Source organism: Homo sapiens, chromosome 2 (genome assembly GCF_000001405.40).
Source record: "Homo sapiens chromosome 2, GRCh38.p14 Primary Assembly".
In the NCBI taxonomy this organism is placed as follows: Eukaryota; Metazoa; Chordata; class Mammalia; order Primates; family Hominidae; genus Homo; species Homo sapiens.
Genome location: NC_000002.12, coordinates 96,010,531 through 96,037,072, shown reverse-complemented (window position 1 = coordinate 96,037,072; position 26,542 = coordinate 96,010,531). Strand labels below are relative to the sequence as shown.

At 53.0% G+C, this 26,542-nt stretch overlaps 2 protein-coding genes and 1 pseudogene across 28 annotated transcripts; 1 reads left to right on the top strand and 2 right to left on the bottom strand.

Annotated features, from left to right (window-relative positions):
* The first annotated feature begins 807 nt into the window (after positions 1 to 807).
* GPAT2 (glycerol-3-phosphate acyltransferase 2, mitochondrial) lies at positions 808 to 15,127 on the top strand. 25 transcript variants are annotated; one of them, XM_047443468.1, is made up of 22 exons: positions 1,828 to 2,220; positions 4,708 to 4,776; positions 4,927 to 5,040; positions 5,739 to 5,812; positions 6,225 to 6,329; positions 6,539 to 6,667; positions 8,983 to 9,082; positions 9,521 to 9,654; positions 9,967 to 10,066; positions 10,164 to 10,376; positions 10,768 to 10,890; positions 11,061 to 11,143; positions 11,470 to 11,588; positions 12,230 to 12,300; positions 12,406 to 12,646; positions 12,736 to 12,884; positions 13,073 to 13,150; positions 13,633 to 13,764; positions 13,847 to 13,967; positions 14,050 to 14,115; positions 14,350 to 14,405; positions 14,798 to 15,127. In XM_047443468.1, the coding sequence occupies exons 2-22, from the start codon at positions 4,714 to 4,716 to the stop codon at positions 14,912 to 14,914; spliced, it is 2,388 nt and encodes a 795-aa protein (XP_047299424.1). In that variant the 5' UTR covers positions 1,828 to 2,220; positions 4,708 to 4,713; the 3' UTR covers positions 14,915 to 15,127. The 25 variants fall into 25 exon arrangements, 22 of the variants coding, with proteins under 22 accessions (NP_001376568.1, NP_001308460.1, XP_047299424.1 ...); XM_047443466.1 differs by having other exon boundaries at positions 4,654 to 4,776; NM_001321525.2 differs by having other exon boundaries at positions 2,157 to 2,220; positions 12,388 to 12,646.
* FAHD2CP (fumarylacetoacetate hydrolase domain containing 2C, pseudogene) lies at positions 13,937 to 26,522 on the bottom strand (annotated as a pseudogene). The gene is made up of 4 exons (NR_003698.1): positions 26,341 to 26,522; positions 15,840 to 15,948; positions 15,608 to 15,705; positions 13,937 to 14,399 (listed from the first exon to the last, which is right to left on the bottom strand). The product of NR_003698.1 is annotated as a fumarylacetoacetate hydrolase domain containing 2C, pseudogene (transcript).
* On the bottom strand, positions 17,430 to 26,329 carry LOC124900512 (fumarylacetoacetate hydrolase domain-containing protein 2B-like). 2 transcript variants are annotated; one of them, XM_047446740.1, is made up of 4 exons: positions 23,102 to 26,329; positions 21,748 to 21,964; positions 17,799 to 17,872; positions 17,430 to 17,592 (listed from the first exon to the last, which is right to left on the bottom strand). In XM_047446740.1, exons 1-4 carry the CDS (start codon positions 23,449 to 23,451, stop codon positions 17,574 to 17,576), a joined length of 660 nt encoding a protein of 219 aa, XP_047302696.1. In that variant the 5' UTR covers positions 23,452 to 26,329; the 3' UTR covers positions 17,430 to 17,573. The 2 variants fall into 2 exon arrangements, with proteins under 2 accessions (XP_047302696.1, XP_047302695.1); XM_047446739.1 differs by having other exon boundaries at positions 17,813 to 17,872.

Below are 26,542 nucleotides of genomic sequence, written 5' to 3'. Positions count from 1 at the left end.
CCAGCTGCAGGAGAGAGAGAGAGAGAGAGAGAGAGAGAGAGAGAGAAGGGAAGAGAGAGAGAGAGAGAGAAGGGAAGAAAGAGAGAGCCTGCATGCAAATTCTCTTTTCCTCTGCCTTTTTTCTATCAAGGCCCTCAACCGATTGGATGGTGTCTGCCCCCATTGGGTGAAGGTGAATATTCCTTACTCTGTCCAGTGATTCAAATGCCAGTCTCTTCCAGAAACACCCTCACAGATATACCCAGAAATAATGCCTTGCCAGCTCTCTGGGTATCTGGGTATCCCAGTCAAGCTGACACCTAAAATTAAACATCACATCTCCTTTTCTCTGCCCCGCTGGTGGTCCCCAGACAGACTGGCAAGAGCCCCTCTGCCCATTCTAATGCCAGCTCAAGTCCTTTTCTCCAGGTGATATACAGGAGAAAGGCCTGTCAGTGCCTTCAGGGAACACCTGCCCCCAGCCACAGGGAGGGCCTTTGTCCCTCTGGGCGCAGGCAGTCAGTTAGGTGCATCAGGATATTCTGGGTAATGCATTCTGGCATGAGTCCAGGATGGGGCTCACCAAGTCCAGTCCAGGTTGGGCAGGGCCCAGCTCAAATCAGTTTATGTTTCTCTCAGGGTCGGGTCAGTCACAATCAGTGTGTATGGCAGCTGGCCTACAGGTCTTGCTGCACTGCAGCTCTGCCTCTCCTGCAAACTGCTTGAGGGAGAAAGAGCACACTGAGTCCTCGGTCCCAGACCCAATCTGGGTCTGAGAGGGATGCTTCTTTTCAAATGTCCAAATTGCAGCAAACAACCACCACCACCATAACAAAATACGTTTCTTCCAAAGAAGCAGCACATCTGACAGCTGAACTCTGAGATGCTGCGCCTCGTCTCTACAGTCAATCCATGCAACCTTCTAGTCTAAAGTCTCTGCTTTGGGGCTACTTCTCAGCATGAGAACTCCTTAAGAGGTGGGGACGTGTTCACAACGGCAAAACTCGGCTGCCTGTACAGATGGTGTTCCCAGAACTAAGAGGCGTCAGCCTTCGGTAAATTCAAGTCTGCACTCTTAGGAGGCAACTTACAACTTCGAAGTGAAAGTCTATATTTTTCGTTTTTCAGCGTCAGAGTCTCAGGATCTCGATGTGGACAGGCACCCTGATACAAAAGAACGGTAAGATGGGGTACAAAATGGATTCTGCAGGTACCGGGAGGACGTTGCAAATCCCAATGAAGGTGAGTGGATGCACACACAGCCTGGATAGACACGAAATGGCACAAAGGGAGAGAAAGGCTACATCCCGGAGGGGCAGGGTGTGGGAGTCACATCAGGGCTGGTGAGTCAGAGACGAGGGAGGATGTGAACACGTTCTGTGCTGTCTTGGGCCCCGCCAGGCTCATGTGTGGCTTTGCTCCGGCACACGTGTGTCACATGCTCTGGAACTGTGGAATCCTCTGGCATGTCAGGCGGGCTCATTCCATGGGGGCAGGAACAGAGAGCCCAGTCATTCGCACGTTCATCTGTTCTATACTGCTTGCCTCCCACTGGCTGGTCTCCTGCTGGGTGCTGGGAACACAGTTACAACATGAATGAACCCATAAGGTCTTTGTTTACGCGGAGCTTAGGGCCGAGACAGGAGTCAGGTCTTAATCAAATAACCACACGAATGAACACACCGGCCACAGGCCCAGCTGAAACCTTAGCACCGCGCGGCTGCTGGAGGTCCCTGACGGTGGTCTAGGCTTCACATTAACAAAGGAAATGACACTGGGAGGCCTGACTTGTTTTTCATGACTGCAACTGTCTCTTGATGATCTTCTCTCCTTTCTAATCGTCCCCAGCTCAGAATTTTGCTAGAGCCGAACCCCAGCTTGGAGGAGCGTAAGCCCTGGGATAACTTCTTTAATCAGAATCTGGCCTGAGTCCCTGCTCGAAGCTCAAGCACCCGGGGCCTCGCGGCCGCCTGCAGTACTCCCCTCCCACCGCGGGCCAGGGCCGACTGGAAAACGGAGCAGGCCATCCCCAGAGCACGGGTCCCGTGGCCACGTTGAGTGTCGCAGAGTACGGGACGCAGGGCGGGGCTTCTGGACCAGCGCGCATCCCAATTGGCTCTCGGGGCTGCCTTTTAGCCGGACGCGCGGAGGTGGGCAATCCGCTCCTTCCCTTGAGCAGTCCACGCCTTGTGGCGGCTTTGCGGAGCTGCTGCTTTGGCGGGAGTTGGAAGCTGGTGTGAGGTGAGAGGCGCGGTGGTCGCTCCCCGGCGAGGCCAGGTCAGAAGGGGACCGGGATCATCCAGGGGCTTTCCTGCTTCAAGAGCCTGGTCTGAGCGGCCTGTTGGGGACTGGGCGGAAGTCGAAAGGGAGGGAGTGCCGGCCATGCGGGTCTTGTGGCGGGAATGAGTCCTTGTGGGGCGTGGTGTTGTGGAGAGCCCCGCTTTGCCTCTTCCTCGGCATCCCGTTCCCCTACATCCAGAGAGGGCATCCAGGACCTGATGTCGGGCAGGTGCCCTTCGCACATCTTGGGGTAGCTCGGGGAGCGCCTGTCACGGGTCTGACGAGGAAGCTGAGGCCTGAGGGGCCCTGGGCGGGGGCTGTGGGGCGCCGAGGCCATGTTTGAGCAGAGCCGGGAAGGTGAAGTTCTCTTGCGGCTCTCTGTAGGGCACAAGCATTCCAAACGTGGGGGCAGGTTTAGAGTTTTACCCTTGATCAAGGGCTGAACGCTCAGATGTGCACAGGCTCAGGCGTCAGTGATAATCAAGGTGGAGGCAAACGGGAGGGCTCCTGCTGTCGGGCTAAAGGGACAGTGGCGGCCAGCTGAGCCCTGTGGGGTGTGTGCTCAGAGATGCCAGAGCTCAGCTTTTTCCATTACAGCCGCGACTGGAAACCTTGATTTTCAAAAAATGTATATGTAACAAGCCCTCTGCTGTTCAACGTTGGTTTTACATCATAAGGTTTTAGCACGTTGTGTAGTCAAAGAAGTGTGTGTGTGTGTATATATATGTATATATGTATTATATGTATATATGTGTGTGTATATATGTATATATGTATTATATATGTATATATGTGTGTGTATATATATGTATATATGTATTATATATGTATATATGTGTGTGTATATATATGTGTCTATGAGTTGAATTTGCCCTCGGGGTGCCAGTTTGCATCCTCTGCTGTAGGAGTCCTGAGCTGTGTTGTTAACTGGCAGATGGGAATAACCCCTTGCCATGGCTTTGACTCTGCTTCCGTAGAGCTAGCACAGACCTAATGGGGTTAGATTTGGGGGTTGGGGGTGGTCTGCAGCTAGGGGACAGACACCCTCCTTGCAAAGCGGGCGTGGGTTTGTAGCCTTCCTGTACCATGTGTCTGTGAACAGGGCTATGCAACATTTTCAAGATAACAGAGTGCCTTTGGGATGAGCCTCCCGTGGCCCCCGAGACCCTGGGCACTGCAGGGATCCTGATCCCATTACTGCTTGGCTTCCTGGCTGGAAACCGAGCTGACTGGGGAAAGGAGGAACGCGCCTGGAGAATTCTTGGGAGGAAGTTATTGTGGGTCAGCTGGCTCTTCCTGGTTCCCTCTTGCACACCGGGCAGACTGCTGGACATACAGAGATGAGTCCCTGCCCTCAGGACACTCTGACCACGTAGGGAGATGAAACCATAGCCCTGGAGGAGGGCTTCGAATGGCTCTTTGCCGGGCAGGCTTGGGCTGGGGAACCCAAGGAGGAGAGGGAGGGCTTAGAGGGTGTTCCAGAAGCATCGTGGACTTAGAACCCTGGGCAGAATTGGGTGGGTGGCTGGGAAGGGAGAGGCTCCTAGATGGGCCTGATCGAAGTGTGGTAGGGATGGGGAAACATGATTAGACCAGCCCACTCATCAGGGTCGTGCTGACAAATAGGGAAGAGGGGCTTTTAGGCCCAAATTTTTGAGCCAGGAGTCGTTCAGTGCTGTTTGAAGGAACATAGGTATTTATTAGTTCAGGGAAATATTGTGGTGGGAAGGAGGGGCTGAGGAGATACAAGTGGCGTCTTCTGTGGAGAACGTTAATGTGAGAGGGGAGTGATTGTGGAAAAGTCTGTCTTTGTCCCCAACTAGATGCTCATTCCTGGTGAGTAGGCCTCTGTGTTCTGACCCTGAGTTGTCCCTCTTCTATTAGCCAGCCCACATTCCCGTAATGTTTGGGTGGTTACAGGGCTGTCTCCTGGTGAGGAGGGGAGGGCAGCTGAGTAGGACCTGGTGGCCTCATGGCGATAGTCTTCTTCCTCCTTGGCAGTCTTGTGCCTCCTTCCTTCCAATCCAGCCCTCATTCTTTCCCTCTGCACAGAAAGGATCAGCATCTCCGGTACAGCCCCCATCTGTGCTAGGAGATGGCCGGGTGGGTGTGGATGCTAAGACAACCGATCCCCCTCATGTTGGCCCGAGGAGGGCCCTGACCTGGATACTGTGAGACCTTTTGAGGACAGCTGGCTCCTTTGTGGGATCAGTTGGGTGTGGGGCAGGGCCTTGACCTGAGCCAGCCCCTAGTTTCCAGCCTAGGTTCTCCTCACCACTAATGGCCTAAGTGATGTCTGTCTGTCCTGTGATGGGGGGTTGCAGTTACCGCAGGAGGCCCTGGATTATGGCTCAGATTCTTATGGCTCCATCCTTGCACCTTTCCCCGGCTCAGGTTTCTGTGGGGAGAAGGAGAGTGCCAGAGGTGACTGGTTCATGGTTCTTCTAGGCTCTCATGGCCACCATGTTGGAAGGCAGATGCCAAACTCAGCCAAGGAGCAGCCCCAGTGGCCGAGAGGTAATGTGGCTCCTCCCATTCCTCAAATCCTCTCTGCCCTGCCACCCCTTCTGCTGTGCCCCTCACTCCTAGAGCCTCCATTGCTCCATCTTTCCCTCTCTCCTGCCAAGGACTTTGAGTCCTCTCATCTCTCCTCATCGCCCTTTCCAGGCTAGCCTGTGGTCGTCAGGCTTTGGGATGAAGCTGGAGGCTGTCACTCCATTCCTGGGGAAGTATCGCCCCTTTGTGGGTCGCTGTTGCCAGACCTGCACCCCCAAGAGCTGGGTGAGTGATGGTAGGGCCAGGCCCCAAGCAGGAAGCTTGGTTCTGGGAGCCGAAGCTCTGGGAAGCTGCTTCCTTTATGTCCCTGCAAGCTTGGCTCTTCCCTGCCCCATGCCTCTGCTTCTGTCTTTCAGGGGAATGGATGCACTGGTATTGGTTGTATGGTTGGGCGGTGGCTTGTTCCCAGGCCTGGGAGAGTTGGGTGGGAGAAGTACAGAGGGGCCTAAGTGGTGGTAGGGTGTGCCCAGAGGGCTGGGTTCTTATCATGCCTGTGTCAGTTTTGTTGTTCAGTTTTGTGGACATCACCCACTCAGACTTCCCCAGCACTCAGCACATGCTTGAAGACCTCTTTTTTGGTTTGTGTCATGTGATGGTGGTGAGGGAGCCCAGATTTCTCATGGAGACCCAGGCTGCGTTTTCTCTGCTGTTGAGAAGATAACTTCTGGAGACTTTCATATACCACTCTGAAAGAGGGTGATTCTGTACAGGATACAGCACTTCAGTTTTGAGCATGGGCCCCTTTTTCCTGAGCCAGCCTAGAATCTGGGGTCAAACACCTTTTGTGAAATACTGTGCTGTAATCTTTTCTCCTGGAAGACTTAGCAGGCCACCAGGCAGAGCCAGAGGGGCAGTACAGGGGCGTTTCTTTACCAGTTTGCAAAGGCCCCCCAGGACATGCTGTCTCTCCCCCTGTCTTGCAGGAGTCCCTCTTCCACAGAAGCATAACGGACCTAGGCTTCTGCAATGTGATCCTGGTGAAGGAGGAGAACACAAGGTAGTCAGAGCTATGGACTGGAGCAGGCTTGGGGACAGGGACCCTTGGGTGCAGGGCTGCTGGGGCCCTGCTTTTTGGTGCCATTTTCTTCCTCTGATAGAGAAAGAAGGGCCCCGTCCTCTGTTCCATACACAAGCCTGCAGGGAGGGGCAGACTTGGAGCTCTCTTGCAGTTCCTTCTGTGAGCATGTATGGATTGCCCACCGTGTTTCAGGCTGTGAACCTGTACCCGACTCAACAGGGTGAGGGGTGGGAATGGGGCACAGATGGACAGGCAGCTCTTCCTGCTCAGGTGTTCCTAGTACATGGGTCTGGGGTGTGGTCCCTTTCTGATTGAATAGCCTTCTGTGAGTCCTAGTGGAGGTGGGCCCTCTCTGAAGGATCTTCCCTCCTGCTCTGGGAGCTGTGCCCAGGTTTCGGGGCTGGCTGGTTCGGAGGCTCTGCTATTTCCTGTGGTCCCTGGAGCAGCACATCCCCCCCTGCCAGGATGTCCCACAGAAGATCATGGAAAGCACCGGGTGAGGAGGCAGGGAGTGAGGTCTGGCTGGCATTTCTGGGATCCTGAATGGGATGACAATGACACTAGGTAGGGGTGTTTGAGAGGGGTGGCTGGGGCAAGGCTTCTAGAGCATGAGCTTTGCCTGGAACCCTTCCTTAAGGAGGAGAGTGAAGACTGGAGGCTGTGCCCTGCTGCAGCCTCATAGCACTCCTTCTAACCCCCTCACAGGGTGCAGAACCTCCTCTCAGGGAGGGTCCCAGGAGGCACTGGGGAAGGCCAGGTGCCTGACCTTGTGAAGAAGGAGGTACAGCGCATCCTGGGTCACATCCAGGCCCCACCCCGTCCCTTCCTGGTCAGGTAACTGGGCTGAAGGGCACTCACCCTTGGGCTGGGGACTCTGTCCTTCTGGAGAGCGGGTGTTGGCCGGGCTTGGGGAAGTGCTGGACTCTCCTCCTGGGTTGCTGGATAGTGTTTACCAGAGTGGGCTGCAGCCTGCCTTCACCACCGCCTCCCATCCCCACATTTTGCCAGCACAGGTTGGAGCCTATGTTAGATGCAGCACACTGTTCCAGGGAAACGGAGGGTAAACGAGATATGCGCGGCTGCAAGGAGGAAGGAACAGGGCTGAGACAGAATACCAGGAAGGGGACAAAGAGCCTGTAAGCCAGAGCCAAGAGGAAGAAAAGGCGAACAAGAATGAGGCGAACAGTCTTGCTAGAGGGAATAGCCTGAGCTTTGGCCCTGGGCAGGAAAGGACTAGGTTTGCTCCAGAAGCTGACGTGGTTGGAAGCCAGCAAGTGAGGGGTCGAGAGCTGTGGGAGGTGAAATCGAGAGGCAGAAGGGATCAAATCATGTAAGGCCGTGCAAGTTTGGACTGGATCTCCAAGTGCAGTGAAAACCAGTTGCAAGGTTTTAAGTGGGAAGTGACATCATGAATTGGGGTCAAGAGTGGAGACCAGAAGGGCATCTGGAAGGCTGTTTTGTTAATCCAGGTGAGAGATCATGGTGGACAGTAGAGGTTGAAAAGTGGATTGAGAGGTCGAGGTGATATTAACAGGACTCACTGAGGGATTGGACAGTGGGAACAGGGGCAGTGAGGGAAGTAGGAGAAGTTACAGGACAGCCCCGTTTCTAGCCTACTTTCTGGTGGTATGGACAGAGAACAGGCTTTGGGAGAAGTGAGTTGGCCCAAAAAGGTAGTTTGGAGAGAGAGAGTTTTGGTACCTGACATGCTTGTGGAGACACTGAGGAGGCAGCTGCATATAGGAGCCTGGAGCTCAGAAGAGAGGTTGGGGCCAGAGACACTGCGAGGCTTTAGCATACAGATGGTGTTTAAAGCCAAGGAGATGAATGAGTCCCTGAGTACAGGTGGGCTTGGGGGCAGCATGTGTCAAGCTCAGCTGTCTTGAATGTGCTGAGTGGCCAACTGAGCAAGGACAGAAAGTAGAGGTTGTTGGTGACCTTGACCAGCCCTCTGCTGTTCTAGTCTCTTGATCTGCCTACCTTGACATCAGCCATCAGCCTCCCTTTCTGTGTTTCCTTCCCTCCAAGCCTAGCTCAGATTGCAGGCTCGGGGTGCTAATAATGCTCTTTCGAGGGAGTCATGGGCATGACCCCCCGCTGTCTACCTTCTCTTTGCACCTGAGCAGCCCAGCGTTGCCAGAGAAACACATACCAGTGGACTGGTTTCCTTGCTAAGTGCAAATGTCACAGGGACACATGGCACTCTCCAGGGCTCCCACCCAGCCTGCTCCTTCTTAGACTTATCCACTGTCAACTGATTCCCCATCTCATGCTTCACAGAAAGATAAAAGCCATCACATGGGGACTTGCTGCTTATCCAGCACATTTCCCTGCTACTACAGCTATGTGTCTGTCCTAAATTAAAGCTGGTCCTATGCCGGTGCAGTGGCTCACACCTGTAATATCAGCACTTTGGGAGGCTGAGCGGGGTGGATCACCCAAGAGCTGAAGACCAGCCTGGGCGACATAGACCAGCCAGGGCAAACTTGTCTCTCCAAAAATTAGCCGGGTGCACTGTTGCGTGCCTGTGGTCCTAGATGCTTGAGAGGCTGAGGTGGGAGGATCGCTTGAGCCCAGGAGGCAGAGGTTGTAGTGAGCCAAGTTTGTGCCACTGCACTTCAGCCTGGGCAACAGAGCAAGACCCTGTCCTAAAAAATAAATAGAGCTGGTCCTCCTGTTGGGCTGCAGGGACAACCCCACCCACCTGCCCACCAGGGATTTTGCCCCTGCAGTTATCCCCTTTCCTTCTTCTATTACTAATCCTTCCTTTTTATTTCACCTTTTCTGGTAGATTGTGAAGACCAGGCTGGGTTCTGCCTGGAGAGAGGCTTGGTCCTCTAGTCTCCTTTAGGGTAAATTGAGGCAGATGCTCTGATTCTGATGTGAGGCAGCTCCACCATGAGGTCGTGGGAGAGTAGCAGCGTCTGGTGGGCATGAACTCTGGTGTCAGAACTTCCAGTCCCAGCACTGCTACTTCTTAGCGTTCACTACCAGGAAGCAGTTCTGTAGCTTCCCTGAGTCTCACTTTCCTTCTTCTGTAAAATGAGGATAGTGGCGGGGCCTGCCCTAAGGAGCACTGGGCAGCCCTCCAAGTGCCACGGGCCGAGCGTCACTCCTTGCCGCACCTCAGGCCTGGTGTCCCTCCCCAGGCTGTTCAGCTGGGCGCTGCTGAGGTTCCTGAACTGCCTGTTCCTGAATGTGCAGCTCCACAAGGGTCAGATGAAGATGGTCCAGAAGGCCGCCCAGGCAGTAAGGCCCGCCCTCCATTGGGTTGGGGATGGTGGGAGCAGAAGAGCAGAGGCTGGGCCAAGCCCTTAAGTCAGGAGCAGTCCCCATCTGGTCCTGCTTCCTGGCCTCTCTGTTCCCAGCCATACAGCAGTCCAGTCCCCATCAGCTGGTGGGAAAAATCCCCTGCTCTTTGCCGACCTTCCCTTATGTCTCACGGCCCTGCTCCCATGGGGCTTCCTCTAACGTCTTTCCATCATGGTCTTAACAACCATGACGTCAGTGCGTCGGTGCAGTTACCTTAAGAGTTGTCTAAAGGCTCCTTTGCTTTTGGGAAATGTGCTCAGAGGAAGAACTCTGCAGCTGAACTGTCCCTCCCTCTGGGGCTGCCCTGGGTCTTTGGCTGCCTGTGTCCTCAGGGTGGGGCAGGTTGGCACTTCCCTCTGGCTCTCCCCGGAGCAGGGCTTGCCGCTTGTCCTCCTCTCTACTCACAAAACCCTCCTGGATGGGATCCTGCTGCCCTTTATGCTGCTCTCCCAGGGCCTGGGTGTGCTTCGTGTGGCCTGGGACTCCCGCGCCTGCTCCCCTGCCCTCAGGTAAAAACCTTTTGCCTCTAGACATACATGGGAGAAGTCGCAGGCTGGGGCGGGGTGTGTATCGGGGTGTGTTGGCAGCAGCTCCCTACTAAAGGCCCTCTTCGTGGCCTCTCTGCTCCGAGCCATACAGCAGTCTAGCCTGTGGGGCTTAGATGGAGGTGTCAGCCACAGGGCCTAGGGCCATGGCTTTGCCTCAGGGTATTCAAGTAGGACACAGGCTGGCCATGGGGGAGCTGAGACTCTCACTAGCCCCTTACTCATTCACATCTTCAGAGCCCCTTTCCTTATCAGGCTCTGCCCTATGTCCCACAGAGCTCTGCTGAGGAAGCTTGGGGGGCTTTTCCTGCCCCCAGAGGCCAGCCTCTCCCTGGACAGCTCTGAGGGGCTCCTTGCCAGGGCTGTGGTCCAGGCGGTGAGTGCCCCCAGTGGTTACATATGGGCCAGGCTAAGGGGACAGGGGTCTGTTTCTGCTCTGGCCTTAACACCCCCTCTGACCCCTCCTATTCCAGGTCATAGAGCAGCTGCTGGTTAGTGGGCAGCCCCTGCTCATCTTCCTGGAGGAACCTCCTGGGGCTCTGGGGCCACGGCTGTCAGCCCTGGGCCAGGCTTGGGTGGGGTTTGTGGTGCAGGCAGTCCAGGTGGGCATCGTCCCAGATGCTCTGCTGGTACCAGTGGCCGTCACCTATGACCTGGTTCCGGATGCACCGTGTGACATAGACCATGTGAGAATGTGAGACCTTCCAGCCCCTTGGGCCCCTAGGTGGACACCAGCTCCCGATAGGAGGCACAATATTGTGTCCTGTGGCTGAGCCCCACTTAGGGCTGTGGGGGGCACAAAGGAATCGTCCTTACAATCATCTGGCAGCACCTGTCAAGGCCATTACCATCATCTCATTTCATCCTCTGAAGACCTTGATAGGGAGGGATTTTTCCTGTGTCATGGATAAGGAAAGAGGAGCTTGGGACAAGGTCACGCACCAGTTTGGGCCTGAGATAAAACTGAGCAGGGTGGGACCAGAGGATACCTCTGGAGACCAGGATGGGTGGGCAGCCCTGATGTCCGCCCGAGAGCAGTGTCCTCGGCGAGTATAGTTATCCTTTCCCTCCTTGCAGGCCTCGGCCCCCCTGGGGCTGTGGACAGGAGCTCTGGCTGTCCTACGTAGCTTGTGGAGCCGCTGGGGCTGCAGCCACCGGATCTGCTCCCGGGTGCACCTAGCTCAGCCCTTTTCCCTGCAGGTATGGAGCCAGCTGGGGAAGGCTGGGAGTACCTGGGGTGTCTGTCCTAGGCATCCTGGCAGCCTGGCCCTCAAAGCCACTGCAGGGATAGCTTTGCCTACTTCCAGTGGGCTGTGTGCAAGTTTCCTGGTGGGCCCGAGCAGGCCACCTAAGAGCCTTCTCTTGGGCAGGAATACATCGTCAGTGCCAGAAGCTGCTGGGGCGGCAGACAGACCCTGGAGCAGCTACTGCAGCCCATCGTGCTGGGCCAATGGTAGGGGCACAGGAGCGTGGGGTCTCAGGGGGCAAGGCAAGCAGCCCTTCAGCACCAGCTTATGTATCCCCCATATACACACACTAGCAGCCCTCCCTCACCAAGTATCCTGGGGTCATCTAGAATAGTTCCAGGTACTCGCCTTGCCAACAGTCTGAGTGTGGGGTATGGCACAGAGGCCTGGATGGGACTGGGGGTTATAGAAGCCATCCTCTGTCCTGGGGCTGGGAGGGGGAAACACCCTCACCTTTTAGAAAGCTCTAGGCATTCCCACAGCTGTTTTTGTGTTTGGACCCTTCATCCTGTAATCTGTGTCTCTATCTCAGTACTGCTGTCCCAGACACTGAGAAGGAGCAGGAGTGGACCCCCATAACTGGGCCTCTCCTGGCCCTCAAGGAAGAGGACCAGCTCCTGGTCAGGAGACTGAGCTGTCATGTCCTGAGTGGTGAGGGTGAACCAGATCTGGGCCTTTGCGGGTGGGTCACTGAACCGTCCCCTCTCGGGGTCAGCCAGTCACCAGGGTTCTCCATTCCAAGTGTCTGCACCTGAGGTGCTCTGTGATACCTTGGGGACATCTGAAGAAGAATGGAACCCTTCTCCTACAGGAGGAGCAGGCAGCCAGGGCCATCATAAGGGAGCAGCTAAGTGCATGCACAAAGATGGTGGCCTGAGGCCAGGAGGCTGCAGCTGCTTCCCCAAGGCCACACCCAGCCCTGCCTTCTGAGCGGAGTCTCCTTAGCTTTGGGTGGAGATGGTGTTAACTGAATGGAATGATACGTGTAAGGGGCTTAGCACAGCGCCTCCACAGAGGGCCCTTATAGGGAGATCCATCTGTATCTTCTTCAGTGCCCCTCTAGTAGAGGCTGTGGGTTGATGTGTGGGCCCTACGATGAGATCCAGGGGAAGGCCCCCAGCTCCTGGCCTGCTCTCAGCCTGTGTGATGATAAACACCACTGCTCCGGGTGTACGTTCCTCATCCCTGGGGTGGAGTTGGGATGTGTGGCTAGGAAGACTTGCTAGATCATGGAGGGACCAGGCTGCTGGGCCTCAACCTGACCAGCATCTCCACCCCCCGCCCCACTCCAGCCAGTGTAGGGAGCTCTGCGGTGATGAGCACGGCCATTATGGCAACGCTGCTGCTCTTCAAGCATCAGAAGGTAGGGGGTGCAATGTGGTGGGGACCTGGGCGGTGGGGGGGGTGGCGATGTGTGGCCCTGCTGCCTAGCCCTGCTCTGCCCACCCAGGGTGTGTTCCTGTCGCAGCTCCTGGGGGAGTTCTCCTGGCTGACGGAGGAGATACTGTTGCGTGGCTTTGATGTAGGCTTCTCTGGGCAGCTGCGGAGCCTGCTGCAGCACTCACTGAGCCTGCTGCGGGCGCACGTGGCCCTGCTGCGCATCCGTCAGGGTGACTTGCTGGTGGTGCCGCAGCCTGGCCCAGGCCTCACACACCTGGCACAACTGAGTGCTGAGCTGCTGCCCGTCTTCCTGAGCGAGGCTGTGGGCGGTGAGTCTTGAGGTGCACGGGGTAGGTGGGATGTGTGTGCAGTGGTGAAGGGAACGGCTCCTTCTTCATAATGGACCCTCCGCCCCCAGCCTGTGCAGTGCGGGGGCTGCTGGCAGGCAGAGTGCCGCCCCAGGGGCCCTGGGAGCTGCAGGGCATATTGCTGCTGAGCCAGAATGAGCTGTACCGCCAGATCCTGCTGCTGATGCACCTGCTGCCGCAAGACCTGCTGCTGCTAAAGGTCAGGCCTCCCCTACGGCCCACTTGGTCCTAGGCCTTCCCCTCTTGGTGGTAGGAATGGCCCATCCCTGCCCATGCTCTACCTCTGAAACCTCCTGGGTAGTAGGTGTGGCCTTGCCCGGTCTTTGGCTAGGCCCCTGCCCATGTGCCTGGCTCTCCTGAGGCCACATGGGTGCCTTTTTCTCCCAGCCCTGCCAGTCTTCCTACTGCTACTGTCAGGAGGTGCTGGACCGGCTCATCCAATGCGGGCTCCTGGTTGCTGAGGAGGTAGGCAGGGCAGTTGGAGACAAGATCCTTGCCTGGAGCCTGGCCTCCTCCAGCCTCCCACCCTGAGTGCCAGCTGCCCCAGGCTCCTCCTCTGCCCCGTGTGTGCTGTGGGGGTGGGCAGCCCCTGGCCTTGCAGCGGGGAAGCCTAGCTCGCACCTCTGCTCCCTGTGCCTTGGGATATAGCCACCTATGCCCCGGTTCTGTGTGTCTCTCTGGATAGCACTGGACATGTGTGCCTCTGAGGTTCTCTGCACACCTCCTGCTCCCCACATTTCTTGGCCACAGGGCTACTGCCCTTGAGGGTGGGAATTCACTTCCTCTCACTCTGCAAGTTGGCCCAGCAGGTGCTGGGGCATGGCTCTGGCCATCCTCTTGGGTCTCTAGGTCTGCTTTTACTGGTTTCACCTGCATGTACCTGGTCTGGGGGTGTAGGGTTGATCCCTGGCCAGCTTGTCAGAGAACAATGGCTCCACGGCCCCTAGACCCCAGGCTCCCGGCCAGCCTGTGACACAGGGCGACAGCGATTGAGCAGAAAGCTGCTGTGGAAACCGAGTGGGGACTTTACTGATAGTGACAGTGATGACTTCGGAGAGGCTGACGGCCGGTACTTCAGGGTGTGTTTCAAAAAGCTGCCCCTGGAGGGAGGTGGTAGGGAGGCGGTGGGGAGCTGCACTCACCCCGGCCTGTCCCCTCCAGCTCAGCCAGCAGTCACACTGCCCAGATTTCTTTCTTTTCCTCTGCCGCCTGCTCAGCCCGCTGCTCAAGGCCTTTGCACAGGCTGCCGCCTTCCTCCGCCAGGGCCAGCTGCCCGATACTGGTGAGGCCCTTGTTCCCTTGCAGTCCTCGAGGCAGGCTGTGTCTGTGCTGGGTGCCAGGTCTAGGTCTTCTCTCTTCTGCAGAGTTGGGCTACACAGAGCAGCTGTTCCAGTTCCTGCAGGCCACCGCCCAGGAAGAAGGGATCTTCGGTGAGTCCCAACCAGTCAGCCCAGGCTCCTGCAGGCAGTGGTGTTTGCTGGTGGCTGCTGCCCCCTGCAGGACAGTGACAACCCAACTCTAGGAAGGCAGGCTGCAGAGTACAGTCTTCTGTCCAGTCAGAGCTCTATCCCTCCCTGGGCTTCTTTAAACAAGAGGAGAGAAGCCTGTGCCCAGTGGCTCTCTGTTCTCCCTACCTAGAGCCTTCACTTCTCTCTTCTTTCCAGAGTGTGCGGACCCAAAGCTCGCCATCAGTGCTGTCTGGACCTTCAGAGACCTAGGGGTGAGAGGAGCCACTGTCACCATCTTCTGTCCCCCTGCTCCCACCCCAATAGAGTAGCTCAGGGAAACCCAGCTATGTCCCCATCACTCCACAGGGCTGGCCTGATGGTGCCTCATTAAGACCCTGGGATTTACTTGGTGTCTTCCAGCAACAGATTTGGTGATGGGTTGGAGAAGGTGGGATGGTTTCCTGCCTCTTGGTCTCCCAAATCACTGGCTCATCTTTCTAGGTGGGGTATTGGGACTGCTTTGCGGCAGCATTTGCACGCAAACATTGAGGTCTAAGGGGCCAGAGGTCTCAAGGCAGGTTTCTGGGGGACAGGCCTGGCCCCTGGGCCATGTGTACACAGTCCCTGTGGTGAGCGCACTCACGGCTTATCTTCCATGGCCCAGGTTCTGCAGCAGACGCCGAGCCCTGCAGGCCCCAGGCTCCACCTGTCCCCTACTTTTGCCAGCCTGGACAATCAGGAAAAACTAGAACAGTTCATCCGGCAGTTCATTTGTAGCTAGAACTGTGAGGAGGAGCCTGTGCTGAGACTTCTCAGCCCCAGAACACAGCTGTGTCCTAGAGCCAGAAGATGGAGAGGAGGCTGCAAACCCTTAGCTGCTCTATAAATATAATCATTGAGGCTTGATTGTCCCTTGCCATCTCTTGCTTTTTCCCTTCTTTGATGTGATAAACAAGGGGACGAGACGAGTTGTCTTTTCCCCAGCCCAGCAGCATCTTTTTGGTGTATGTGTGTGTATTTGCTCTCTTCTTCCCCAGTCCCACAAAATGCCCTAACTTGTCCCATGAAACAAAGCCCAAACGAAGACAAACAGCAGAAGCCAAGCTGCTGCTTTGACCCGACGAATTTATTGAAGAGAGCTCTGTCCTTCTCCCTTCTACCGAGAAGAGGCGGCTTGCAGGGCTGGCACCTGTCCACACCTGTCACTGGGCCTTTCCCTGGGCTAGGCTGAGTGGGAGCAGATGCCCTCATCCTATGTGCAGGGCCTGTGCAGGAGCCATCACACCACCTTGTTGATGATGACACCTAGTTCTTCAATCTCACACTGGACTTCATCCCCCTTCTGCAACAGAGCAGGCCATGAGAGTGTCAGCCCTTCCGTCAGACACACGTACACAAGCCTGTACTTCTCAAGTCTGAGCCAAGCCTGCCAGCCCTTTGGGGCCCTTGCTCTCTTTGCTTTTCACTAACCTACCTTGAGAAAGACAGGAGGTTTCCTGAATACACCGACACCTGGGTGGAGGTGGGGGGGTCCCAGTCAGGATGACATCCCCTGGGTAAAAGGTAACAAACCTGGAGCAAAGCAAAAGGACCCGGTGAGACCAGGGGCTGGCTGAGGTGGCCACAGCCAAAGGTGGAGGGCTCAGGTCAGCCTCCACATGTGTGGCAGGTGGAGCGGGGCTGGCAGGATAGCCCCTGTCACTCACTGGGACACCCAGGCTATCAGGTCCTCTGTCTTGAATACCATCTGGTTGGTGTTGCTGCTCTGGACCACTTCCCCATTCACTCGACAGCAGATCTTTAAGTTGTGTGGATCTGAAATGCAAAGATGGTACCTTGGAGTTATCCCTTTTCCCCTTCAAACCCCCCAGTATTTTACAAACACAACTATAGGGGTGCTTCGTGACTTGGCAGGTGAAAGGGCTTTAAAGTGCCCACATTGACTCAGTGCACTATGTTAGAACTTTCTGTATAGACATTGGCCTTCTCAGGCCTCCCTGCATCCCCAAGAGCACCAGGCAGTAGTCACTTGGATGAGTTGAGAGGATGTTGCAGACTCTGAAGGAGAAGAGAAAAATGGCTAGGGTTTTTGCCTTGAAAAAGGGCATCTGTCTACAGCATAGGAAGATACCTGTAGATACAAAAATGACTCCTGGGCAGGGCCAAGCGTGGTGGCTCACACCTGTAATCATAGCACTTTGGGAGGGCAAAGCAGGTGAGAACTGATTAAGCTCAGGAGTTCAAAACCAGCCTGGGTAACGTAGTGAGTGCTTGTCTCTATGCAAAATAATAAAAACATTAGGCATGGTGGTGCGTGACTGTAGTCCCAGCTACTCAGGAGGCTGAGGCGGGAGAACTGCTTGAACCCAGGAGGTTGAGGCTTCAGTGAGCTGGGATTGGGCCACTGCACTCCAGCCTGGGTGACACAGTAAGACCATACTTAAAAAAAAAAAAAAAAAAAAAAAAAAAAGACAGCATCTATAAAGCAGTGAGGCAATGGTTCTAGCCAGGACAGAGAAGCCTCGTGTACCGGATGCTGGCAGGGGATGGATTACTGTAAGAACATCCTGGCTAACCAGCACTTTTAACTGTTGGTGTTGGTCTTAGTGTTCTACCACCCTTAAGTAGAGCACCTGAAACACAATTTAACTTTGCCGAGGACTCTGTGTGGGTGCTGTGAGGCACTGGGGTCTTTGGTATCCTGGCATGGCTGGCCCATGTGGACACCCCCCACCTCCACCACAGTTGTGGGTGGCTGTGTGTTAAGAGGCTGCGCTCTGCCCTCTGGCACACTGCCTCCAACCTGGCGCTGTCCCCTCACTGTGTGTGGTCAATGCTGTTGTTTCCACAGTGGCTGGGTGAGTCACACTGGCTTTCATCTGTAGTGTGGAAAATGCCTGGGCCTTGCGATAGCTATGCTCCATGATGCTCAACTTAGATTATTTCAGATGGTGGCAGCCGCAGGAAGCCCGATCCACCCATCAGCTCAGTGTTCTTTGTAATTTACTTCACGCATGCAGTTTCACATCCTCTGCAGTTGTGTTCCCTCTAGGGGGCTTGGGAAGGAAGCCCATGGGAGAACTCGTGGCTGAGGATAAAAGACTTTCCCTGTATGGAGTCAGCAGTGAAAGGGCAGCCAGGGAGGGCAGGTGCCACATGTACCTGAACCCGTGCTCCTCCCTGGAGGGCTGTTCATCTGTGCAATGGTAGGTACAAGGGGGCAGGGATCAGGAACCTACCTGCTACACTGTCCTTGGTCACCAAGGCAGGGCCCAGAGGGCAGAAGGTGTCGAAGGTTTTTCCCAGCAGCCACTGTTTCCCATTGCATCTTGTTAGCCAGTCACGAGCACTCACGTCATGAGCCACAGTGAAGCCGGCCACGTGGGCCATGGCATCTGTGGCCTATGGGGGCAGGGGATTTGGCCATACAGGAGGATAGATCATGGGTGACACCAACACCTGTGGCAAGGGATCTCAAAGCTGTTATCCCATGTTAGTAGCCAGAGCCAGCCAAAGGTGGGTGAAGGGAAAGGCAGTGTCAGGGAGCAAGGAGGCTGACTGCTTCCTAGTGTCAGGGACAGCTGGCACCATGTGTTGGTGAGCGAGGTCAGAACTAGGAGAGGCAGGAGCTGGGGACTCTGCTGCACTCTGGCCTGGGAGCCCACCTTTTCCACTTCACCTTGATGTGCTTGCCTTTCTTTCCAATGACCACGGCCAGCTCCACTTCCCAATCTACCTCCTGTAGGGTGGGAGAGGAATAGTGAGCCGCAGTGGCTTTGGGGCCCATTAACTATGCTCAGAGGCTGTACGCTGTGGATCTCTGTCAGTATGGCTTGGCTGCCATCCCATGTTTGCCATCACCACGAACCAGAGCCCAGTGAACGACAAGGGAGGTGTGACTTGTAGACCCATACATTTTGGGCAGTGGCAGACAGCATCATGGGATGCAGGCACAGGTCCCCACACCATTGACTGCAGAAGAGCAACACGTGTCCAGGGCACTGAGTTTAAAAGTCACTCTGGATACTTTTAACAAAGGATAAATACGAAGTAATATCCCCTAGCAATATGTAACCTTACTGTGTGTCAGGCACTATTTTAAGTGTTTTAATCTATTAACTCACTTTAGTAAGAGAAAGATCCCACAAAGGACTTGAGTAAGCAATTCACAAAAAGGTAACGGACATGGCCACAAAACATGAAAAAATGCTCAGCCTCTCCCATAATCCATAAAATACACTATAAAATAGATATAATTTGGCCTTTAAAATTGGTGGCTCTTTCTAATAATAACCAGAGTTGGTATAAGTACACCTGACATCCAGATGTTGGTCTCTAATACCACTCCCCAGTAAGGAGCACCGGGTTCCTTGGTCCAAGACAGACAGTACATGATGAGCCTGGAACGTCTTGGCCAGAAAGCAAATATATGCTAAAAGCTTGGGGATGGAACAAACTTGAAGGTCCCTCATTGGCCAAATTGAGGTCACCTGAAGAATGTAAATGATGGATTACAACCAATTGAATAAAAACAAAAAGGAATTCACAGTGATATTGAAGACACAGGAATAAAGAGCGAGGCAGCTTTTTTTCTTTTTTTTTGAGATGGAGTCTCACTCTGTTGCCCAGGCTGGTGTGCAGTGGCGCGATCTCGGCTCACTGCAAGCTCCGCCTCCCAGGTTCACGCCATTCTCTCACCTCAGCCTCCGGAGTAGCTGGGACTACAGGCACCTGCCACCACGCCTGGCTAATTTTTTGTATTTTTAGTAGAGACGGGGTTTCACCGTGTTAGCCAGGATGGTCTCGATCTCCTGACCTCGTGATCCACCCGCCTCGGCCTCCCAAAGTGCTGGGATTTCAGGCGTGAGCCAACGTGCCTGGCCAGGCTTTTTTCATAGAAGAATGCCAGTTAATAAAAACTGCATGATTTAGAAAAATCATTGTTCTTGGCCGGGTGCGGTGGCTTATGCCCATAACCCCAGCACTTTGGGAGGCTGAGGCAGGTGGATCACCTGAGGTGAGGAGTTCAAGACCAGCCTGGCCAACATGGTGAAACCCCGTCTCTACTAGAAATACAAAAAATTAGCCGGGTGTGGTGGTGCATCCCTGTAATTCCAGCTACTAGGGAGGCTGAAGCAGGAAAATTGCTTGAACCTGGGAGGCAGTGGTTGCAGTGAGCTAAGATGGTGCCACTACATTCCAGCCTGGGTGACAGAGACTCCATCACAAAAGAAAAGAAAAGTCATTGTTCTTCATCCCCCAATGCAATAATGGATTCAGTAAGGATGACTACAGGATCCTTGGATGAGAATCTACGGGGCAATAAGATGGTTATGTGATCTCAAACTACCACATAGATTGCTTGTTAATTACAAAAATGGAAATGCATCTTCACAATGGAGGGACTTAGTGAACGTCAGCTAAACCAAGTGGTCAAATTCTGGGATGCAATGGGAAATGTATAACATCTTTGTAGATCTCTTGATAAAAATGCTTACCCTGACACTAATCATGAAGAAACAACCAGACAAACCCAGGATGTGAAACATGCTATGAGACAACTGGATTCTTCAAGGAAAGGGCAGGGGGGATTGTTTGAGGTCAGGAGTTGGCAAACTATGGCCAGCTCACCGTCTGCTATAATCAACTTTGATTGGAAACCCATCATTCATTTCTGTATCGTCCCTGGTGGTTTTCACACTATAACAGCAGAGTTGAATTGTTGCAAAACAGACCATATGACACTCAAAGTGTAATATTTACTAATTGGCCCTTGATATGGTTTAGCTCTGTGTCCCCACCCAAATCTCAACTTGTAGCTCCCATAATTCTAACGTGCTATGGGAGGGACCCAGTGGGAGATGACTGAATCATGGGGGCAGGTCTTTCATGTGCTGTTCTCATGATAGTGAATGGGTCTCATGAGATCCGATAGTTTTAAAAATGGGAGTTTCTCTGCACAAGCTCTTTTCTGCCTGCTGCTACCCACCTAAGATGTGACTTGCTCCTCCTTGCCTTCTGCCATGATTGTGAGGCTTCCCTAGCCACGTGGAACTGTAAGTCCAATTAAACCTCTTTCTGTTGTAAATTGCCCAATCTCGGATATGTCTTTATTAGCAGCATGAAAACAGACTAATACAGCCCTTTAAAACAGTCTGTGGAACCCTGTTCTAGGTTAAAACTACTAAAGAGATATAACTGAATACAGTGTGTGCCCTTGGTTGATCACAGAGCAACAAAGTAACCAAATTAAAAGTCATCTTTGGGGCAATTGGATTTCATATTAAATATCATTCAAGTTAATTTTCTTGGCTGTGATAATGGTATGGTCATGCAAGCCGTTGTCCTTATAAAATGTCTATTTCAGTTTTTATGACAATATTTGCAATGTGTCACCCCAACCCCTGCCAAAAAAAAAAATGTGTGTTTGCCATGTGAAGGGCAGGGAGAGGGCAAGGGAGAGAAAGCAAATACAGCAAATGTCTACAGTGAAACCAGGTGAAAAGTATATGAGCGTTCACTGTATTATTTCAGCTTTTCTATAATTCCCAAGACATTTCTAAAATAAAAATTTGCGAGGAAAAGTAACCAGTGTTAGTAAGGGTATATACACTAACGATGGATGTGTAAGTTGCTCTTACAATTTGCTTAAAGGACAATTGGGAGATTTTCTCAAGGGTTTTGAAATACTGCCTGTAGTTTGATAATATTCAAATCCTAAGAGTTTATTCAAAGGAAATAATAAGGCCGGGTGTGGTGACTCACACCTGTAATCCCAGCACTTTGGGAGGCTCAGGCAGGCAGATCACAAGGCCAAGAGACTGAGACCATCCTGGCCAACATGGTAAAACCCCATCTCTACTAAAAATACAAAAATTAGGTGGGCGTGGTGGCATGCGCCTGTAGTCCCAGCTACTCGGGAGGCTGAGGCAGGAGAATCACTTGAACCCAGGAGGCGGAGGTTGCAGTGAACCAAGATTGTACCACTGCACTCCAGCCTGGCAACAGAGAAAGACTCTGTCTCAAAAAAAAAAAAAAAAAAGGAAATAATAATATATTAATGGACACGCAAAGTCTTTTCTACATAAGGATGTTCATTGCGACATTTATTTATAGAAACAAAAAACTGGAAACAAGTATCCAGCAGTAAGGTACTCAGGAATATAAACTACCCTGTACATCACAAAACTCCAAGGTAACCTAAATATGTCAGGGAGAATATTTAATGGCATGAAAAAATGCTCCTGATGGAGTCTTAAGTAAAAGGTAAGTATATGTACAGTATAAACATATACAGGAGTGGAGAAACAATAGGAAGGTAGACAGAAAAACATTAATATTCTGAGCCATGGGCAGTGGGATTATGGGTGACATAATTTTTAAATGTTTATCTCTGTTTTATCTACAGTGAAGGTGTATTGCTTTTGTAACCAGGAAAACACGTACATTAACTTTTTTTTTCCAAGGCCAGTGTTACTACTGTGTGTATAATCCTGTAGAGTTTCTGTTGAATGCACTATTGAGCGAGAGGTGGCTCCAGTAGGCTCAATACTGAGCTCAGAATGCCCTTGTGATGGGCCCAGTGACTAGGGAGGGCAGTGGGGAGGCACTGACCTGGCTCTGTGGTGGGAGGACCACCTCATCATAGGGCCCCACGATGGAGCTGGCAAACTTGCTGAAGATGATGGGCTCCTTGGGCACGGGCACGTTCTGTTCTTTGCAGTGGTCCACATAATTCATGCCCACACACACCACCTTATCTGGCCATGTGACTGGAGCCAGGAAGGTTACCTCCGACCGTGGTAGGACTGGCAACTGGGCAGCCAAGGCTCTGTAGAGACCAGAGCAGGTGAGAGGGTCTGGCTGGGAACAGGTGGGCAATCCCGGGCAGGCTGGGCAGATCCTGCAGCAGCTAAAGGTTTTGCTTTCTGAAATCTATTTCCTAGCTCTATCAACCATCAGAGTCATTGTGAAAATCACTGACTATTGTCCTTTGCTATCAGAGCAGGGCTTTTATTTATCCAGTGTTGATTTCCTCTCCCCCTTAGGTAACTCATGTCCATGTAAAAGATACAAACTGGAATACATGGAAAGGTTTCCCTTTCCCCTTCCGGTTACCCCGTTCCCCTGGCTCTTCGCAGCTACTCTATGGATATTCTTCTCCCACCCTTTTGTATGCAAATGATAGCATACTATTCACATCTTTTAAAAAAACAACTGACTTTGGAGATCTCTGCTTAACAATATGTAACAATACATAGAGAGTGTCCTCTTTATTTCTTGTGGCTGCATATTACTGCTCTATAGAGATATACCCAAGTCCCTAATGAGGGACATGGAGTTTTCCAATCTTTGCAGATTATGGCAATATGGGAACATACTGTTAATACTGTGAGCTGTGAAACATTTGTATTTTTTTCCATTTTAATAGATGAAAATGACATCTTAAAGTATTTTTAATTTATTGTTCATCAGCTCCTTAGACCAGATTCTATAGGAGTCCAGGCTTCAGGGACACTCTCACCTAATCTAGTCCAAACCCAGGAACCAAGTGTCTTATAGAAAACCTCCTTGCAGTCCTCTCTCCTTGTAGGAGCTGGGAGTCTATATCACTCCCCCAGCTGCATAAGATGCCTTTTAGGACCCCCGGGCCCAGACCCGTCAGTCAGTCCAGGACTTCATTCCCAGAGGAGGCAGTGTGATGAAGTATAGAGTCCTGGTTCCAGCACCACATGTATGGCCTTCAAATTGTTAATCACCTCCCCTAGCTCTCAGTTTTCTCCTCTGAAAACTGAAGATGTTATTATATAAGATTTATAAGGATCTTTTAAGAGAATGGGAGAAAAGGAAAGGTGGGGTTACTCTGCTCCCTTGCAAAAGAGCTACCTGCTGGTGCTGTTTCCCAGAGCGGGGAGGATGTGGGGGGACCAGGGCAGCTGTGTCAGGGCGATGCTGCCCACTTACTTACCTTCTTGCCACTGAGAGGGTGGCCTCTCCCTGCTCTAGGAACTGCGTCATTGTCTTTGGGAGTGTGGGGTCAAAGGCATTGAGGTTGATAATCCCTCTACCATTCCCTGTCTCCAGGCCCAAGTGAGGCCCCACCAGGTGGGGTGCCCAGAACTGCACTAGTCTCATGTCTCTGGAGGGTTGAAAGGGCCACTTCTGAGCCTGCAGCAGAGCTGTGAGTAACCTTCTACCAGACACCACCATCAGAGCCTGCAGAGAAAAATGCAGGATCCAGGAGACGGAGGATCCCAGAGCCATCATCAGGATCTCTGAAATTCCTAGGGCTATATAGCCCAAGGCCCTTTGCCCCATCAACCGTTCCCTGCATACCACACGGGAAGTGGTCCAGGCTTGTATTTTACCTGCTATTCTTCATAAGGTGAAACTTTTCTACAGGAGCAACTACTACATGCTACGCAGTAAGTCCCAGGGATTCCAGTGTTCCTTCAACCAGTGCTTTCTGAAAGTTCCCACTGTGCTTGGCTCTGCTGTAGGTATTGGGGAAACAATGTAGGTGAAACTCAGCCCTGCCATTCTCCCTGCACAGGTCACAGATGTTAACAAGTGACGTAAGATTCAGCTATCAGGACTAATGCTGTGAAGATGGTCAGGGGCTCTACCCTTGTCTAGTTTCTGGAGGAAGTGATGTGAGCTGAGCTGGGCTAAATGAGCAGGACCAGGAATTAGCTGGGTGGCAGCCCAGCATGGGCAAGTGATGCTGGTGAAACTGGCTTCACAGTGGCCATAAGCCATTTTTTAAATGCTATTTTGGTCCTGTTAACCTCCAACTTAAAATGGTTTCCACTGCTCACATGATCAAGCTAGAACCTCTACCAGGCTGTCCTTGTCTTCTAGGAGCAGCGCCCCCACCTGCCTCTCCAGATAATAATTATTTCATTTCTCCTGATAGAGAACAAGTTGCCTGAGGGAAGAGGCTGCAGACAAACAGCAAGGTCTGGGCCTGACAGCCATCACTTGGTCATCTCCTCCCTGGATCCAGGGACATGTCTGTCTCTTTCACTGCCCAGCACTGTGCCTGGTGTACAGAAGGCTCTCAGTGACTTTCTGCTGAATGAACAAATAAGTGACAGAAGCAGAGGCTTGACATTTCACTACTTGGGAAAGCTTAGTGCTTGTTAACTTTAGGAGACATGGCTGTGCCTTTCCTCCTCAAATCACCTAGAAAGTATCCACAAGGGCCAGGCGCAGTGGCTCACACCTGAAATCCCTAGCACATTGGGAGTTCGAGGTGGGTGGATCACTTGAGGTCAGGAGTTCAAGACCAGCCTGGCCAACATGGCGAAACCCTGTCTCCCCTAAAAATGCAAAAAAATTAGCCAGGACTGGTGGCAGGCGCCTGTAATCCCAGCTACTAGGGAAGCTGAGATACGAGAATCACTTGAACACAGGAGGCAGAGGTTGTAGTGAGCCAAGAACATGCCACGACACTCCAGCCTGGGCAACAGAGCAACTCCAAAAAAAAAAAAAAAAAAGAAATTATCCACAGAGCTCAGGTCCTATTTTGAGTCCAAGGCTCCACTTAAAGACAAACACTATTCTCTTGTTTTGTTCTGAATCCAATTCTGGCCACTATTCCTTACCACATGGTGCCTTCCCTGAATGGTTCCTTGCTCTTACAACAAAGGCTGTTTGTATTGTACAGCCTTCTATGCCCAAAAATGTTGAGGCAGCTGAGCCCCAGACTCTTGGTCCTCGCCTGGAGATTCAATCTGCCTTGTTCAGTGAAAGACTCATTAGACTTAGGTCACCACTGTTGTGGCCCACCAGTTTGACTAGAAAACCGAGGGTTTTGACTTCTCTGCCCTGCTATCTTACACAAGCACCAACTGTGCCACTGTCAAAAGGCTGTTCGAGCCAAAGTGCACACACTCAGACACTCCACATGCTAACATAACAGTAACTGCTGCCGCTGAATGCCAACTATTAAGTGCTCTACCTACAATGTCCGATTTAATTCTTTTTTTTTTTTTTTGAGATGGAGTCTCGCTCTGTCGCCCAGGCTGGAATGCAGTGGCACGATCTTGGCTCACTGCAAGCTCTGCTTCCCGGGTTCACGCCATTCTCCTGCCTCAGCCTCCCCAGCAGCTGAGACTACAGGTGCACGCCGCCACGCCCAGCTAATTTTTGTATTTTTAGTAGAGACGGTGTTTCACTGTGTTAGCCAGGACGGTCTCGATCTCCTGACCTTGTGATCCGCCTGCCTCGGCCTCCCAAATTGTTGGTATTACAGGCGTGAGCCACCGCGCCAGGCCTGATTTAATTCTTGACGCTTGTGGAAGGTAGGTACTGTTAGTCCCATTTTACAGATGAAACAGTTAAGGCTTAAAGCGGTTAAGGGATTTGCCCAAGGTTACACAGTCTTAAAGCTAGGAAGGGAAGGAGCTGGGATGTGAATCCAAGTCCAGGTGACATTGAAGTCCTTGGTTCAGAAGCTTGTAATGCAAGCAAGAAAATCTAGCTTCAGCCCCATCTTCCTACCAAGGACATTTTAACCCAGAATGTTGTGGTGAGAAGTGGGGACCTTCCATAGGAAATCCTCCAAAGGCCCTAAAGATTGTAGTGAGAAGTAGGGACCTCCCACAGGAGATCCTGCAGAGGCCCTGCTAACAGCCATGCGTGGGGAAACTACAGGCGCCCTCTGGCTGTTGCCTCAGGGACGAGGCTGGTTACCAGCTCTCCAAGAGAACCCCAGGCCCCATTGACTGTTCCCTTCCCACATGACTCACACATGCAGGTTCATTCCAACCTTACAGCAATCCCCTCAGGTAAAGCGCCCTCACTTTACAGAAGAGGACACTGAGACTCAAAGGGATGACGTCAGGTGCCCAAGGTACTAGTCAGAAAGTGGCCCTGGGGCTTCTGCAACAACCACTATGTCACACAGTCCGAGCTCAATCCAACTCTGCAAGAGTCCATAAGCAAAGGGGCGGCGACGTGAGGTGGAAACAGTAGCCTGAAACGTGGGTGTGCACGTCGGATCCCATCCCACCGTCCACTCGCCTGGAAACCCCCAGTTTCCCCATATGCCCAGCTTCGTCCCCTGCAATTAGTGAGGGCTCACATGGGTCCGCCCCATCCGTGTGGTCGGAAACGGCCGGGAACCTGGTTCTAGTTCTGCCCTCCGCGGGAGACCTGCGCCAGGGACACCCTTCTGGCCTAACCCAGCCAGGCCTGGTCTACCTGGCGGCGGCGGCGGCGGCAGCCGGTCCTCCTGCGCTGAGTTAGGGCTCGCGGGGCGGGAGGTCAAGGGCAGCGGGCGCCTGAGCACTGGCACCAGTCACCGCATCCAGCCGGGGAACTACAGCAGCGGCGAAGTCACTGCCGCTCGGTGCGCACTCCAGCGAGAAGCGGGCGCGTCCGGTGACGTCACAGGCAACCACCC

Excerpts from the sequence above, each read along its gene's own strand:
- GPAT2 (XM_047443464.1), top strand. The coding sequence starts at position 4,714 with ATGGCCACCATGTTGGAAGGCAGATGCCAAACTCAGCCAAGGAGCAGC. Across the intron at positions 12,885-13,072 it reads AAGACCTGCTGCTGCTAAAG|CCCTGCCAGTCTTCCTACTG; the intron begins GTCAGGCCTCCC and ends TTTTTCTCCCAG. Across the intron at positions 14,406-14,797 it reads GGACCTTCAGAGACCTAGGG|GTTCTGCAGCAGACGCCGAG; the intron begins GTGAGAGGAGCC and ends TCCATGGCCCAG.
- LOC124900512 (XM_047446739.1), bottom strand. The coding sequence starts at position 23,451 with ATGGGGCAAAGGGCCTTGGGCTATATAGCCCTAGGAATTTCAGAGATC. Across the intron at positions 21,965-23,101 it reads ACCCTCTCAGTGGCAAGAAG|AGCCTTGGCTGCCCAGTTGC; the intron begins GTAAGTAAGTGG and ends TGGTCTCTACAG. Across the intron at positions 17,593-17,812 it reads AGAAAGGCAAGCACATCAAG|GTGTTGGTGTCACCCATGAT; the intron begins GTGAAGTGGAAA and ends CCCTTGCCACAG.